Consider the following 17,867-nt stretch of genomic DNA (forward strand, 5'->3'; position numbering starts at 1 on the left):
ATTTTTTTCTTTAATCTATACATGTAAAAGTCACAGCTGCACCCAAATAAAGTAAGTGTGTTGTTCATCTTCTTTTTTACTTTTTTTTTTTTTTTGAGACAAAGTCTCACTCTGTCACGTCAGCTGGAGTACAGTGGCACGATCTCAGCTCACTGCAACCTCCACTTTCCAGATTCAAGCAATCCTTGTGCCTCAGCCTCCAGAATAGCTAGGACTACAGGCATGCGCCACCATGTCCGGCTAAGTTTTGTATTTTTTGGTGTAGATGGGGTTTTGCCATATTGGCCAAGCTGGTCTCAGACTACTGACCTCAAGTGATCTGCCTGCCTTGCCTTCCAAAGTGCTAGGATTGCAGGCGTGAGCCACCATTCCCGACCCATCAGGGCATTTTCTAACTCCTAAAGCCCGTCTCAGGCTCCAGTGGTGGTCACTAGAAGAGAACCCAACAACAGACACAGATTTAAGATAACCACAGAGAAGTGAAAACCGAATGTAGGCAAAAGAGGTGCATTACAGGCATTTAACTGGTAAGGGGAGGCCTGAACTTTAGAAAATATAATGTAACATTGTTGAATCTGCCTCCTCCACCACAAAATGAGCCAAATAATGACTTTTTATGAGGACTAAATGAAATTATGTATGTACATTATACTTTTGAAACTACATAAATTTCAGATGCTATAACAGTTGGCAGATTACACAAAAAGATTGAGAAATTTTAATTAATTGCAGGTTAAATGTGAATAAAAAATAACAAATGTCAAAACACCTATTGCAGTCTTGAGCCAGCAGGAGCTCAGTTCAACCCCCAAGCATAGCAGACTGTCATGCTAGCTCACTCCATACTGGTCAGTCAAGATCAGCAGGACATTCCAGTCAGGACATCCTATCATCCAGGACAGCAAGGAGGCTGGAAATCAAGCCAAAAGAGAAGACACAAAAGAGATACAAGAGAAGGATCTGGTACATCTACCTCAGAATACAACTGTGAGAAACCATACTGCAATCCTGACCTACCTACACTTAGAACCAAGGGGCATGTTGCACGGTTTGTCCCCTAGACAGATGTCTAGTGCCCCCTAGTGTGTTCAAAGGAGAAATAATTACATTTCTTCCCAATATTGATACTGTACTTATATTTTTATAGATATTTTATCATTAAGTGGGCCTTAAGCTTATTTTAAAAAAGTATGAAAGGTACCAAAAGCATAACATCAATAAAACAAAGTTTGTAACAGCTAATGATTTTACTATGCCTATGATACGTTGAACAGCCCTTATCCAAAATGCTTGGGACAAGAAGTGTTTTGGATTTTGGAATATTTGCATATACACAATGAGATATGTTGGGATGGGACCCAAGACTAAATACGAATTCATTTATGTTTCATATATAACTTATACACATAGGCTGAAGGTAATTTTATACAATATTTTGTGCATGAAACGAAGTTTTGACTGTGTCTTGACTGAGACCCAACATATGAGGTCAAATATGGAATTTTCCACTTGTGGCATCACGTTGCTAAAAAATTTTCAGATTTTGGATTTTCGGACTAGGGATGGTCAACCTGTAATATCAATTGTTAAACTGCCTTTACTTGTGAAAGGTCACCTTTTCATACGTATGAGTATTCATTATACACCCTCCTTCACGGTTCTCACAGACCCTCATTTCAAGCATCTTACTGCCTTGGTGGAATCTTTGTGGTAACTTTTAGCTAGTGGGCATGTAACAAGAATAGCTAATACTTACGGAGTGCCTGATGTATGCCAAATATCTTATACATATCATCACCCATGAAGAAGGTACTGCTGTGATCCCCATCTTACAGGTGAGTGGATACACAAGACCTCAGAGCTACTCGGCTAGGCTCTGGCACTCACTCCATGGCCCGTGGTGTCTAACCCCTATGCTATATACTGCCTCCTTAAGGAAAGTCAGCTAGCTCTGGACAAGTTTTGTTTTGAGATTACATATACACACATACATACATATTTCTTAATTGGGTCAGAAAACAAATAGTAATTATGACTGACAGTGATACTGGGTACTGGGCACTATTTTAAGTATTTCACATTTATTAATTCATTTAATCTTTACAACCTAATAAGGGAGATACTATATTGTATGAGTCCATTTTCACTGCTATAAAGAAATACCCGAGACTGGGTAATTTATAAGGAAAGAGGTTTAATTGACTCACAATTCGGCACGGCTGGGAGGCCTCAGGAAACTTATAATCATGGTGGAAGGTGAAGGGCACCTTCTTCACAAGGCGGCAGGAGGAAGTGAGTGCAAGCACAGGAAAAACTTCCACTTTTAAAACCATAAGCTCTCATGAAAACTAACTATCGTGAGAACAGCATGGGGGAAACCGCCCCCATAATCCAATCACTTCCCATCAGGTTCCTCCCTTGACATATGGGGACTACAATTCAAGATGAGATTTGGGTGGGGACAGAAAGCCAAACCATATCAATACTATTGTTATTCTCTCTCTCTCTCTTTTTTTTTTAACAATTAAAGCAGACAGGGAGAAAGAAAGGAAGCTGTCCAAGATTACCAATGAGTTAAGGGAAAAGATTCAAACCCAGATAATCAAGTTCCAGAGTCTATATTCCTATCTGTTACATAATACTGTCTTCAAAAAAGTATTTTCCAAACTCCCTAGTACCACCCCTTTTCTCACAGTGCCAGCGAAGGGTCCTCTAACTGCCACAGAACGAAAGCAATTGCACAAGAACAAACCAAATTCTAAAACTTCAATCCAAATGTTGTCTTAAAAAAACATCAGGACTAAGGTTTAAAGAAGGGAAAGATTGCCTTCATTTTTGTACAATAACATGATTCCTTCCCCACCTTAATAGTGTGCAAAGTAAGTCAAAACTCACTCTTCACTACACCCCTGCAAACTTTTCCAAGTAACAGTAAAATCAGTTTAGCAGTTCTTTGAACTATACATAATATAGGCTGAACAATCATGTAATACACATTTTATACTAGACAAATCAATGTACACAACTGCCCATACCAACACACAAAAGGGACAAAATACACATATTAATGGGAATTATCAAATATTAGTTGCCTGAGATCATATTAATAAAATAAACATGCCCTCTCCAAAACTTCAAGGAGGTCACCTACCGTGGTGCTCAAAATTCAAAACAGACCTTACTGCTCTATTGTAATATTTTTATGTTGCAAGGATCATTGTACACAGAGCAGTTTAAATCTACACCGTCTGTAAGGAAAAAGCTGTGTATCATACAGTTAAATCATTCTTAATACAGAGTGACATTTCAACCTCAAGATCATTCTCTACCTATTGCAATATCCATTTAAGAAATTCAACAACAGAGGCACAATGAGTACAATTTGATTTTTAAAAATATATTCAGGCACCAAGCTGGGTATTTAATATAGTTTGCATTCTGTAGTATGATAGGTTTTCTATTTCAGACAGCTAAGAATGCCTTACAGATTAGTCTAATTTGCTAAATTGAGATACTTGGTGTTTTACTTTTCTTATCTTCCTTTTTATGGTCTATCTGGGTAAACTTAATTGGCAAATCTGAGCAGATGAAATACCCTCAGTTAGGAGTGCAGATCTCATGGAGTAAATTAAGACTGATATAGACAATTATGCCCAGAGCCAAGAATGAAAGGTGTGTGCAGAGCAGGAAGCAGAATTAGTCTTCATTTGTGTCTCAGCTTTGTTATTTAAAAGAAGGCAATGTGCTCTCTAAGAAAACATCTTTAACCCATTTATGTCTGAGGTTACAATTTTTTGAATTTTTGCATGAAATTCATATATGTTACCTAGAAAAATTCAAGGAACAAAAATTTGAAGAGAAAAAAAAATTTATTATGTTCCATTGTTATGTGACGTTCCAAAATTGGAACACTAGGCAAAACCACTGCTACACTGTACATAATGTATAAAACTATGTTTCTTATCTCAGGAGGTGGTGACACCTGCTATTCAGTGTGATATTCAACGGAACACTTCACATGTAAGGCAACATCACATTTTTCACATCGAAAAGTTGTGTTCTTATGACATTCAGCGCATCGCGTTTGCTTTCCCTGTTTGACTATCACATGATTTATGCCATCATAACGTGAGTCAATGTTACGCTTCTGAGGTCTTCCTTTTTGGCCAGGTTCTGGAGGATGACCATGGGTCTCCAGATAATGGCATACCACACGTCGACGAAACTCCAGAAAATCCACTGGTTTCTCATCATATGTTTTATGCAATTGCCAAGCATTTTGTAAGACCAGTTCGAAACAGAACAAAAGAGGGCTTGAATACCATTTCTTTCCACGGATTGATGCCCGATACTTATCAATGTTTTCATCAGCTCTGTCTACGCCTCCCATGAACTGGTTATACACTTTGATCATGTTTGGCTGCTGAACTTGTATCTTCTTTTTCAGTTTCTGGGAGTAACGACTGACAAGACACAGGGGATGGATACCAGCACCAGATGAGGCAACAGTGACAACACTGTTATCATTCCATCTGCAGACAATATTGCCTTTGCCATCAATTCGATAATCAAATGTGCCTCTTTCTTTTTTCTTTAAAGCTACATCTGATTCCAGTGGAACTCTGTCAATGTGATCCTTTCTCACTGTACCTGTTGCCTGATGTCCCATTGAACTGAGCTTATCAAGAAGTGCAATACTGGTGAAAAAGTTATTGAATACAAAATGGTATTGTCCAGGGTGTGCCTCTGTAAGTGCCTCACTAAACTGAAGGACAAGTGACGCACCGACACCATATTCCTCATGTTTAGTATTTGGGTTTTTACCCTGATACGGCTGAAACCAGCAAATGTAGCCCAGACAGGTGGCACCACACCAAAACTTATAGCCAAACCGAATGGGCTTTCCCCGAATAAATTGTTTGCACCCGTGACGACCAAAATAAGGAACCATGAATTCATCAAAGCTGAAATATGTTTCATTTGGAACAAATTTCATGCATCTCTCATTAAGTTTGCTTATGAGAGGTCGCAATTTGGAAAATTTGTCCACTGGATCCAAATTTGCATTGTCAGCAACATGCAAATTAGAAAATATAGTTTCAAACCGGTCACGTCTCATGGCAGCACTAACCAGTACATTATGCACATCTGTTCTTTGTTCCCAAAACATACGCCTTCTAGGAACTGAGACATAACCACTCAGAAAAATAATTCCCAGAAAACATTTGAATTCAGAGCTAGTCAAGCCAAGATGTACACCTTTACTGCAAGCATATAAGTTGGAGTACTTGACAATGAGTTCAATGACCTCGTCATCAAGAAAAAGTTCAAGAATTTCTGTGGGAGTTCTCATTACGGTGAAGAAATCGTTTGGTGGTGCTGTAACTCTACCTGCTACGGGTTGTACAGTTAGGTCGGCTTTTTTCCATTTGCAAAGAATTTTTGTCATTTTCCTCCTCCTTGATGGTGGAGGTTGCTGCACAGTAAACGTAGATGGAACTTCATCAGGAGAGTCATCTTTAGGTGCGTATGAGGGATCATCTGAGTCAGACTCAGCATCAGAGCCATCTTGAATAAGATACGCAGCTGTGTGCAACAAAGAACCTGGCAGATTATTTATTGTTCCACCTTCTTCATCTCCTGATTCCTCATCAGAAACAGGTGCTGTAGCATTTTCAGGTGGTTGTATCACTATAGCACTTGCTTCTATGCTGTCATCTGTCTCTAAAAGGTCAGTTATTTCATGTAAACTTAGTGTTCGAGGCATCTTGGGACTAAAACGGAAAAAAGGTATTATTAGTCCTAGTGGTAGTGGTTTTGCCTAGTGTTCCAAAAATGGAACATGAAAAATGTCAAACCCATAACTAATGCAATAATAATACTTTCTGTATTTTCTTTTTACCGCACAATAGCATAACTAGTAGAGAAGTTATTTCTTAAAAATTACTAGTATAGGATGTAGTGCAGTAAAGTTATATGTACCTGTCTTTGGATACTCAAAAATGTTTCTGAAAACTCACATCACTTTTTGACAAGCTCCCAGCATGCCAGTATCTGTAGCAGTAACTAACTCTGTGCACCAAGTGATAACATGTACCCTCAGGAGGCAGACATGTGTGAAAAATCAGACCTTGGCAATGACCTTGAGCAGTAGGGCATGAATAACTCCCACATGCTTAGCGTTCCAATAATGGAACACTAGGCATAAATAGGTTTTAAAAGTGTAACTTTTTCTTTCAACTTATAGATTCCTAAAAGAAAATGAACACAGTCTTCTTTCTTTTTTTTTTTTCTCTCAGGCTCCAGTGATCCACCCACCTCAGCCTCCTGGGTAGCTGGGACTACAGGCGCACATCACCACACCCAGCTAACTTTTTCTATTTTTGGGGTTTCACCATGTTGCCCAGGCTGGTCTCGAACTCTTGAGCTCAAGCAATCCTCCTGCCTTGGCCTCCTAAAGTGCTGGGATTACAGGTATGAGCCATTGTGCCCGGCCAGGCTTATTTCTTGAGAAAAATGAACTCTCAGAGATGTTAAGAACATTCTTAAAATAATTGTATTTAGGTTTCTGGATAAAATCTCAAACTTTTACTAAATTCAGATTTTGGGAGAGTTTTGTTTTTTCTCTTTAATTTGGGCTTTAAAAAAAAGGCACAATCAAATCAACCTCCACATTGTGAGTTGGCCTTTGCCGAAGCACAGCCTAAAATTGCTAAATCCTCATCGGGTGCAAACCAGGATCCAACTGAAGGACAGACAGGACAATCCCAGTGCAAACAGGTGCTAGACAGAAGGGAGAAGTTCCCAGAAGACAATAAAATGGAGACAGGCTGTGAGGTTGGTGGTTCTCAGGGCACTGCCTTTAGAAGCATTTCAGGATAGGAATGGGACATTGGGTTGGAGTTGGCCCCCATCAAGTGGAGGGAGAAACCAGGCACTGAAACAATGCTTGTCCGAGTCTGCTGCAGCAAACCAAGCTGCGAGATCACTCTCATGTGTCCCACACCACCTTCAGACCCCTTCTCCTTCTCCAAGCCCTTCCACTGACTGCTGCCTTGAGCAAATGACTTCATCTCTCTGGGCTCAAAGTCCTATCTCCTGGGTGGCTGTAAGGATTAAACGAATTAACCTATATAACAAGAAGAACCACAAGAACCACTAAGTCGTACGCATTCAAACATGTCAGCCATCATTGTTCTTGTGCACCACTCCCGCCCCTGCCCCCACCTCCACTTGATGCCACCTTTGCTCAGGCCCTAAAGGCTGCAACGTTCCAAATCCACAAGACTCTCTTCATAACAGTCATTCTACTTGGCTTGACCCCTAGCATCTGAAATGCTGACAGCTCCCTCCTCAGAACAGTGGATGTGCACAACCCAACCCTCCCAAGCCAGGGTTCAATGGGGCCCTGGCCACAGAGGCCCAGTGCTCAGGGGAAGGACAATGAAGAGTATTATCTTCGCAGGAGATTATGTCTCACAGACTATTAGAAGACATTCTGTAAGACTTACACAATGAATGGAATCTTTATCACCCCTTTACATCTCAGAGTTACTCATGTAAAAAAGGTAAAAAATAGGGCACAAGAAAAACCTTTAGGATCAAAAATTTATTAAAAACCAATTATATCAACAGGCATCAAGTCTACAGATTCAGGTTACACCAGACCATGAAGTAAATTCTGTCCCCATCCACACCATACTTGCCAGGTCTTCTAGACTCCTGAGCCATCTCCCTATATCCTCATCCAAATTCCCAGATTACAGGCTTAGGTTTTTGGTTTGGTTTTCAGTCCAATGGAGGTGGGGGCAGCTATGTGTTGATTTTTGGCACCACCCTGTGGTCATACCTAAATATTGCACCTTCTACTCAATCCCACAAAGGGAAGGAAACATGTATGTAGAGGGCCCAGCCGACTTCAAATCTCAGCTCTACTTCACAGTAAAACTGTGGGCAAGCCAATTAACTGGAGGGGCCGTGATTATAACCATGTAAAGATGTGTATTCACAGAACCAAAGACTGGAATGACATGTAGAAAATAAAAACATAAAAGAGGTCATTTTTTCATCTTAATATTGTTGTCATACTTTTACAATAAAAATAGGGACTCATCAGAAGTGCTGAAAGGTGGCGAGGGAGCCTTCAAACCATGCAGAGGAACCAACTCAAATCCACTTCAGGCTATGCATTTAGCAGCTTAGCCCAATGCACCAGGTCATCTGAGGAGACTCAGGCACCGCCTACTGAAGAGTCCGTTTCTGAACTCCCCACTATGTTTCCCTGATCGGGGTGGGCATGGGTCGGGGATTTATCCCAGAGGCAATTATTTGCTGAGTGTGGGCCATAGTAAAGAAAAAAGCATTACATTCTCAAGCCTCAACATCCTTACCAACAATGCTTCCCAACTGCCTCAAAGCTCTCCTAAATGAGAACATAGTTCTTTCTGAGCAAGGTCCTGTGGACCATGAAGAATGTCACCAAGCTCCCCTCAGAGTCAGCGGGAGCTCAGCCAAAGCACAAGTGCAGTGCCCAGCTCCTCCCACTCTGCACCTGCTGCCTCAGACTCCCCACGCTGAGCCCAGGCCCCTACCCTCTGAAGGTGTTTCCCATGTGATTCTGACACACACACCCCACAAGAACCAGATGATCTATGACATACAGCATTTAGCTAAGGCTCCCTGCCAGGCCCTCCCCTGTGTACATACAACTGTGCAGGGCACATAAAAGAGGATTTTTGAGAAACTGATATACAAACTGCATCAGCCAAAAGCTGCAGCCCCAAAAAAGAGAAATACATAAGACTGACTTATTTCCATCCCTAGCTCCCAAACCTGACAGTGATCAGAGCCATCTGGGAACATTTTTTAAAAGTCCTGCCCGGTGACCCCACGCTACACTTCCTAAGTCAGCGTCTCCAGTGTTAGGGGCTCCCAGTGACACTGCATAATCAGTCTGTGGGTGGGGAAGCTTTGCTCTCGTCTGTGCTCGTTGCCCTCACTGTAGTCTGCGAGGGCAGCAACTTAAATAGTAACTGCCGATACATGAAAATAGAGTAAGAACTTGGGGGAATGAGTTTAAGTCAAATGATAAACACTAACCCTAGTCCTGCCAGCAAGAAGAGACAAAAACATATCTGGAAATGCATTTTCTCACTCAGGATGCAACCCATCTATGCCCTGCAGCCTGACCAAGCAGTGCTGACCACTGCTGGACAAAGAGGCAGGAGTCAGTGACATCTGTTTTATTATGTCAAGGCTGGCAAATACCTAGCATGAATGTTGCTAGTTCCCCACTGTGCCTATGATAGACATCACTAAGGAACTGCACACTCTTCCCAATCCACCCAAACAGGGCCTCGGAGCCCCCTGAATAGACTACCACTCCCCAGAAATCAGAGCTGGCTGGAAAGTGAAGCCCACCTGCCCTCCCTGTCCTCAGCCTCTCTGCACATTGTGGCATCACACCAACCTCCAAGGCAATCCAAATGAGAACCCTGAGGAAATAATGTGCCTCCAAAGCAAAGCAAATTCCTTCCCTTCTCAATGATGCACCTGGAGTTTAGGGGCAAATGCGTAACATTGTTAATTTGGATAAGGGTCATATTAATATATCTGAGCCACCCAACAAGACAAGGCCCTGCACTGGATGAACTTCCCCAACAGTCTCTCCCAAATGCCTCAGTCTGAATTCATTATTCCCTTCACACTTGGTTAGGTCCTATTTGTGCCCAAGTCTATTAACAGACTGCAAATTTTTTGCCAGAAACCCTTGAAGCCAGTCCAAGGATGCAGACATGCATTGTTGACATGAAAGCAAAGATAAAGCTATGGAGGCTTACCTCGAATATGGCAACTGGGAAGTGAATCAATAACATGGAGGTAACAAGGACTGGGGACAAGCGACCTGATCTTTATCACCCTGAAGGGGAAAGGTTCACATGAAATGTTTGGTCTTCTGGGCCACACAGGGCTGTCTTGGCTGCACAGCCTGTACTAGGTAAGCAGCATGTAGGTGCTCACCGGGAACCCACATCACTCAAACACTGAAGGTGTGTTAGTCCTAATCTTTATTTGGCACCCGGAGCTCCCAGGCCCACAATGTGCAAAGCAGTAGTATATTTTAAGAAAGCACTAGACCTCACAACCAACAGCCATAAGCAAATGGAAACCGTGGTAGCACAAAGTAAAATGAAAAAATAATGTATGTTTTACAAGACCTGTATACCACTGACCATAGAACCGACAGAACATTTACTTCTAAGCAGTGGCTCATCCATCCTGTATGACATGAAAGGGTATGAAAACCAGGGAACCCACTGAGGAGTCAGCCTCCAGATACAGTTCAGTGCAGAGGAGGAGGCAGGAGAAACACATGAGAAGGGGGAATACACGGTTTGAAAAATGGTTAAAACTTCAAAGACTGAGCTGAGGGCTTGAGCCAAATGAAGGAAAGCAGGATCCAAAGGGCGACTGCCCAGTTCCATTAAAAAAGCTATGGAAAGGGCTTGACGGAAAATTCCTAGTAAGTATCAGCTAAAACAAAGGCACCTAGTTAGGGTGAACCTAGTGCCAGTGAAAGGCCGATGGCTCTCAAGCTGAGAGAATAAAGAGGATGAGATATCCAGAAGTCACCCACTCTCACTTCCTAGAGTTGAAAAGAGCATTATAATTAACAGGCTATACCCTCAGTAAAAGGTGTTAAGTTCAGCAAAGGGTGCCTACCCTGGGAACTACTCCTAAATTCTAACCACTAAAAAAAAACTAATTTTCTATGTTGTAAACTCTATGACTTTATTCTAATCATCCATCGTCAAACCACTGCTAAGACAAGCAACCCTAAAGGTCTTTCTGTTTCTCAAGGGAATAGCATTACCATTTCAATTAGTCTACAAAGATCAGCAATGAGTAACAAAATATAGAGAGACTGGCAGTTCTAATATGCTTCTCAATCCTGAGCATTTTATTTTCTTTCATCCCCCAAACCAAACAGCACCAAAGGAGATGTAATAACAAATATTTCAATGTGGATATCTGCAGTTTAACAGCCTTAATAACTGTAGCTATAAAATGTTAAGAGCTATCGTATTTTGGTGGCAATTAAGAGTTATTGATATTTCTGAAATTCATTTGAGATTTCACTGTAGCTTTAGCAAAATATTGGCTCTGGAAATAATAAATTGTTTTACAATCTTAACATTATTAAGAAAAACTTATTGCCATCAAATTAACTAAACCCACATTTAAAATTCAATCAAAATAAATTGCTCTTGATCAAAATACTGATATATTTTAAACATATTTAATATTGACCCAATTTAATTGGAAAAATATATATTGCTCCATTTATAATCAATATGTTGAGATTAACACTTTTATTAATTCCTTGCAGTAGTTAAGAAAAAGTCTGACACCGCTCACTGTTCAAGAGTACTGGGCAACATTCCTCAAACAACTTCACAGGTAATAAACGTGCACAGAAACGAAAGCTGTGCTGAGGGATGACAAATATAAGCCAGCCCTCATCTGTGCATTACTACATAAGGTGCTACTAGAATGTGAGTGCCGCAACTCTAAAGAACAGGATTTAAGTCACAGGTCCTCAAATTACTGTTTAAAAGAATTGACACATCTATTTCGGAAAGGTTATGGAATGTCTGTAGTGTCTGGACGGGGGTTAATGAGCAGTTCTAAGTAACAAGAAAAAACACCAGGTCAACCTTCACTCACAAAGGCCAATAAATACAACAAACTAGGTCTCTTCACCTTGAGAAATAAGAAAAAACTGTTGAGGATTGGGAAAAAGCCATCCCACTATCAAGTATTTTAAAAGTAATAAGGTTCCTTTTTCCCTTTGACTTCCTTAGAGCTAAGTGAGCTCTAAGTCAAGGAGACTTGAAATGCGCGGCAGTAGCACAGTGTTCAGTGGGCCACCATGGGGAGGCCTGCAATACAGATTATTTTTCCTGGCTCTCAGAAAACGTGTGGCAATATGCAATTCAGACTTCATGTTTCACATGTTCACCTTCCCTTTTATGGTGCTTGCTTTATACAATGACAATGTCATGGAGCTAAAAGCCAAAGTCAGTCTCTAACATAAAAAACAACAGTGAAAAGAAAGGTATGCTGTGCATACAAAGTACACTTTTTGCATGATGGTGGCTTATAATTATGCAGATGACTATTTTCTCAAGACAAAGGAAGGATTTACAAAAGCAAGCTTATTCTTTCTATGCCAAAGCTTAAGTTTCAGCTCTTTTTTGAAGAAAAGTTCTCTAAAATTACTTTCCTGCTTCAAAAGGGAAAACAGAAACCCCTATCCAGTATGCATTAATTCACCCTTTTCTTTTTCCTGATACTCATTCTAGGGTGACTGTCGGTATAAAGGCGACACAGCTCACACTCAGCCCTCTGTATGCCTCTTGCCCCAGCCTTCCCTTAAGTTTTTCATCTTAGACTTGCCTCCAAATCCAACTAAAGACCTAGAAGTACATGCATTTGGGGCCAGCATCATTAAGGACTCAGGGGCCCCACTGCTTCTAGCAGGTTAAGGCTGCAGAAATCCAACCTCTGTATAATCGGGGGGGTCTAATATATTAAGCTGGATCTAGAATGCTTACATATTAATAAACCTGTCACCTAAGATAAAGCAAACAGTACAATGTATTTATAATCCCCACAGACCGACCTTAACCGCTGCTTATAATAATCTTCATCTCCATCATCTCGGTATCTTCCCACTTTCCGACCTCCTCCTCCTCCTTCTCCTACAGAAGCAGCTTCAGCTTCTTCCCCAGAACTTGGGAAAAAGTCATCATCAATCTCCTGCACTGGCACTTTCTTCTGCCGTTTCCCGCCCTTGGGCAGAGGCTTCAGCTCATAGTCAGTACCATCTCCAGACAGGTCCGCCTCTGCCCCCTCCACCTCGTCATCTTCCTCCTCTTCCTCCTCCTCTGTGGGGAAATACTCAGACTCTTCACCCTCAGAGTCTCCCTCTGCCTCTGGCCTCATGTCTGACTCCCAAGGTCTCCTTGCCTTTGGCAATCCCACTTTCCCCTGGAACTGCAAAGCCCTCTTCTGGAGTTTCTTGATGTGCTTTTTCAAACGCTCCTCTTTTTTGGACAGAACTCTGGCTTTCTTGTTTGGTTTGTTTTTATTTTGCACTGGGGCTGGAGGCGTGACTGGGGCTGGAGCTTTTCTAGCTGCTCTTTTATTACAACCTTGCTTCTTCCTTTCAAAAGACAGTTTTGCTTGATCTGCCAAATACTTTTCGAAGCCTGATGCTTCATTAAGCATGATTTTTCTGGGCTTTTTCTCCTGTTTCTGAGGGATCTGGGTACCAAAAGGTGTCATCTGGCCAGTGCGGATGAGCTCTTCCCAGGCAGTCTCCTGGACAGGCATGAGCATGCTGCCAAGACTGGATGGCCCCGGCTCTGAAAGAACAATAGCAATGCGTTTCGCACTAGCATGAAACTTTCCGAGGGTACAAAAGAAATGCTCACTCTTTCAAGAAATATTAGGCAGCTACAAATAACTCATATAAAAAAAGAATCATCCATGTACTAAAGCATGTTACATATGAAGGACAGAATAAAATTATAGCATCATGCTATATTTAATATATTCCTGTTCAAAAAGACAACTTCTCAGTAACTTTTCCCCAAAATATTTCACTATAAATATACTCTCTGCCATCCAAAGATAGGCTTATTACTGTATAAATACAGTTATAAATAGTCAAGTTTAGCTGTGTTTCCTTATCAGCTGAGTAGTCGTCCATGAGGAAGCAAGCTCCGAAGTTCTCACGTCATTGCTAAAACCAACATTCAGATGGACTTAAATTCAAGAGACAGTAAAACCAAAAACAGGGATCACCATGTACCTAAAAAGGAAAAACATAAATGTCAGCTCTATGCTGCCCAGCATGGCAGTTACCAGTCACCTGCAGCTATTTAAATTTAAATTACATTAAGTTAAAAACTCAGTTCCACAGTTGCATTTGCCCTTTTTCAAGTGCTCAAGAGCTACACGTGACTAATGGCTACTATAATGGGCAACACAGAGAACATTTTCATCACTGCAAAAAGGTCTATTGGACAGCAGCACTGTGTTAGATATGTGAAGTTAACTGACTTGAAGACATTACACCATAAGTGTAAAGTCACCAGAAAGTATCCCTCTTTCATTAGTTGAAATTCATCTCTGGCAAAATTACCACATAACCAAAATACCAAAAGACCTAAGGCTTAATAGGAAGGAATCCATATTCTAAAATCTACAATTCTTGCAGGCCAATGATACCCAGTTTTTCATTAAACTTGCACTGAAATAAAACATACATCTGAAAGTGCACAAATCATTAAGTGTAGAACTCAGTGAATATTCAGAAAAAATGTACTCATAAACTAGCAGCCATATCAACTAACAGAATTACTAGCACCACCAGATGAGCCCTTCAGGCTACCTCCCAGCCTCTACGCCCCCCAAGATAATGATGGACCTGGACTCCTAACGTACAGACAAGTTGTGCCTGTCTCTGAACGCTACGTAAGTGGAAATGTTTGTGCCCTGTGTCCACCTTCCTTCACCCAACATTATGCTTTTGAGCTGCATCCTTACTGTTGAATGTAGCTGTAGTTTGTTAACTCTCACTGTTAATGCACATTTGAGTGGCTTCCAGGTTTTGGCTACTAGGAATAATGTTGCTATGAATATTCTGATGCACATCTTTTGGTTTTATTTATATTTATATATTTATATATTTATATATTTTTATATATATATATATATATATATATATATATATATATATATATATCTGGGTATGCTAAGCTTTAGTAGACACTGTCAGTTTTCCAAAGTGTTACGTTCCAAAGTCCCCATCAACTGTGTCAGAAAGTTCCAACTGGTGTATATTCTTGCCATTCCATGTTAGCTATTTTGGTAGATGTGTAGTGGTACCACATTATGGCTATAATTTACATTTCCCTGATGACTAACAAAATAGGTGCCTTTCATGAATTTATCTTTTGGATAGCCTTTTTTGTGTAGGAAGTGTTCCAGTCTTTCGCCCATTTTTGTTTGTCTGTTTCTTTAAATGATTTCTAGTTCTTTATACATCCTAGATTTGAGTCCTTTGATTCACACATGTATTGCAAATATCTTCCCCAGCTCAGTATCTTGCCCTAAATGCTATCTTCTGATGAACAGAAGTTCTTGGTTTTATATATAGTCCATTTAACAAATCTTTTCCTTTACACTGAGTATTTTGCCTCAATTAAGCCTTAGGTCTTTACACTGAGTATTTTGCTTCCTATTAAGCCTTAGGTCTTTTGGTATTTTGGTTATGTGGTAATTTTGCCGGAGATGAATTTCAACTAATGAAAGAGGGATACTTTCTGGGTGACTTTACAGTTATGGTGTAACTTCCAATTTCAGTTCATGTCTTCAAGTGTTGGCTGGTGTCCAGACGGAGAGATATAATAGGAACCAGGAACTCAAAAAAAGAGCAAAGCCAGATGTCTACAGATCTGTATAAGGTACTAGTAGAACCTAGGTGGCTGCAAAAGCCATGGGGAATAGATAACCAGGGAGAGGCAGTAGAACAAGAAGAGGGCTCAAAGAAATCCTGAGAAACATCAATATTTAAGATATGGCCAGAAATAACTATGCAGAAGTAGTCAGAGGGCTAAAAAGAAAACCAGTAGAGAAGCAGGGATCCCACAAGGAACAGAAGTGTCAGCTGCTGTGGACAGGCAGAGTGGAACAAGGATAAAAAGGGGCTCTTGGATTTGAGGAGGTAGCTATTAACCCTAGACAATGTAGCTATTAACCCTACTACCAAAGTTTTAGCTATTAACCCTAAGAGGTAGCTATTAACCCTACTACCAAAGTCACAGTAGGAGGTGAAAGACAACAGCAGATCTGAGACGGCCAGACAGGAACAAACATCTGTTATCAATGAGAAACATAGTACACAGCAGTTAAAAGCACTGGTCATAGGCCTAATGAATTCTGAGAGGCTGAACTTTAAAACCACGTACTTTTGGGCTGGGTGCAGTGGCTCACACCTGTAATCCCAGTACTTTGGGAGGCCAAGGTGAGCAGATCACCTGACGTCAGGAGTTCGAGACCAGCTTGGCTAACATGGTGAAACCCTGTTTCTACTAAAAATACAAAAAATTAGCTGGGCATGGTGGTATGCGCCTGTAATCCAGCTACTTGGGAGGCTGAGGCAGGAGAATCGCTTGAACCCGGGAGGCAGAGGTTGCAGTGAGCTGAGATGGTGCCATTGCACTCCAAACTTGGGCAACAAGAACGAAACTCTGTTTCAAAAATATACATATTTTTTTCTATTGCTTCAATTAATTCTTCATAACAATTCTCATCTTACTGAATAAACTTCTAAAGCTAGTAGAAAATAGTTGCTTAGAGAATTTAATGCTAAGCAGCTTTAATCTGTATTTCAAATAGTCAATGCCTATGCAGCCACCAACAATTTGTACACACACACACACATACACACACACAATGACTGCAAAGATAATTTAGTTCCAGAGCTTACGAATTTTCCCAAAAAGTTTTCCAAAAGACAACCATCCAAGACAGTAATGTAAATGAAATACTGCCCAGAGTACCTGAATGAAGATGTCTTTTCTTAAACTGATGCTTGGAAAGCCTGCCAAATACGCTCTTTAAAGACACGTGAGAGCCATTCTACAAATGCGATTAATGATGTTGGGCTTCCAACATGTAATTTAATCATGATGCTAGTTGTCTTTATCAAATTAACAAAATAAGAATGTTTAAGATTTCCAGTGTATTAAATGTAATAATAAATGTGTACCAGCAGCCTCCTATGAACTGAGTTAAAAGTTTACTTTAATTCTCTTTGAGAGGGATTTGGTTCTGCAGGTGTAGAGAATAAAATTTTCCTAAATCTGTTTTGACACTAAGGCAAAGAAACGTATTTTTCTCAAAACCCAGGCAAAGACTAAAGAGACACCCTCCACTGACTACAGGCATCAGGCATCAATTCAAGAACACAGAGAAACTGCTCCTAGCATCCTCACCTGCATCCTCCTCCAGACTGGCGTGATCTAGTTCAATTTTCACCTCTGCTCCTCCAAGGATGGCCTGGAGATGCTTTTGTTTTGCAGTGATCTTTTTTAGCTGTTGTTCCTTGAATGGTAAATATAGAAGACAGAAAACAGCAATGAAGTGATTTATTGTTAAATACAAAAGATAGCATTATGAAATTTTAAACTTAAATCCAAAGTAAAATAAAAATAATATACATTACATAAAAATTCCATACATTACTATTACTAGAGAGCCCTATGTGAGCAACTACCACTTTTCTAGGAGTAAAGGGGCCGTGAATATTCCCAGCAGACAGGCATGCCTGCACCCCCATGCTCTCCTGAGGACGGCAGACTGCCTTCTATGTGCCCGAGCCCTTAAATACATGGGCACTGACCTGAAAGGTGGACTTGTTCTACTTGGTTTCCCCCTTACACACTGGGCAAATCCCTAAACTACTCTGTATTTCTGATTCAGAACCAATGGGCTATGGAAGTCAACAGGCCATAAGATAAGAAATAAAAACACAAATGTTCAATTGAAAAAGTTAGTCTCCTTTGATAACCTACTATATTTATGACTGTCCTTTTAGTATTCTACCTAATCAAAAAGCTTTAAGAAAAAAATATATCTTGCCATGCCTCTCCACCCTGGCCACGCCAGACTCCTCTTTGTCTTGTTCCCTTCCACATCACCAGAACTCAGATATGTGCCCTTGGGCTTCACTGGGGAGGCCCAATGAACTGGGCTTGTGGTACCTGGTTCATCTTTCCAAGGTCAAGAATGTT

The 17,867-nt window shown here is 40.7% G+C and overlaps 2 protein-coding genes across 5 annotated transcripts in view; both read right to left on the reverse strand.

Annotated features, from left to right (window-relative positions):
* Positions 1 to 17,867, reverse strand: part of ERCC6 (ERCC excision repair 6, chromatin remodeling factor) — a 104,658-nt gene that overhangs the window by 76,467 nt on the left and 10,324 nt on the right. For 2 of the 4 annotated variants that reach the window (NM_001277059.2, NM_001277058.2), the window contains exons 4-6: positions 17,070 to 17,178; positions 12,686 to 13,430; positions 3,851 to 5,774 (exon numbers count right to left, since the gene is read on the reverse strand). In NM_001277059.2, coding sequence (NP_001263988.1) covers positions 3,986 to 5,774; positions 12,686 to 13,430; positions 17,070 to 17,178 — 2,643 coding nt within the window. In that variant the 3' untranslated portion in view covers positions 3,851 to 3,985. Of the gene's footprint in view, positions 1 to 3,850; positions 5,775 to 12,685; positions 13,431 to 17,069; positions 17,179 to 17,867 lie in introns of those variants that run through there. The other 2 variants (NM_001346440.2, NM_000124.4) reach the window with 1 other exon arrangement.
* On the reverse strand, positions 3,758 to 12,934 carry PGBD3 (piggyBac transposable element derived 3). The gene is made up of 2 exons (NM_170753.3): positions 12,686 to 12,934; positions 3,758 to 5,774 (listed from the first exon to the last, which is right to left on the reverse strand). Exon 2 carries the CDS (start codon positions 5,765 to 5,767, stop codon positions 3,986 to 3,988), a length of 1,782 nt encoding a protein of 593 aa, NP_736609.2. The 5' UTR covers positions 5,768 to 5,774; positions 12,686 to 12,934; the 3' UTR covers positions 3,758 to 3,985.

The sequence above is a fragment of the Homo sapiens genome, chromosome 10, assembly GCF_000001405.40.
Source record: "Homo sapiens chromosome 10, GRCh38.p14 Primary Assembly".
NCBI classification, from domain to species: domain Eukaryota; kingdom Metazoa; phylum Chordata; class Mammalia; order Primates; family Hominidae; genus Homo; species Homo sapiens.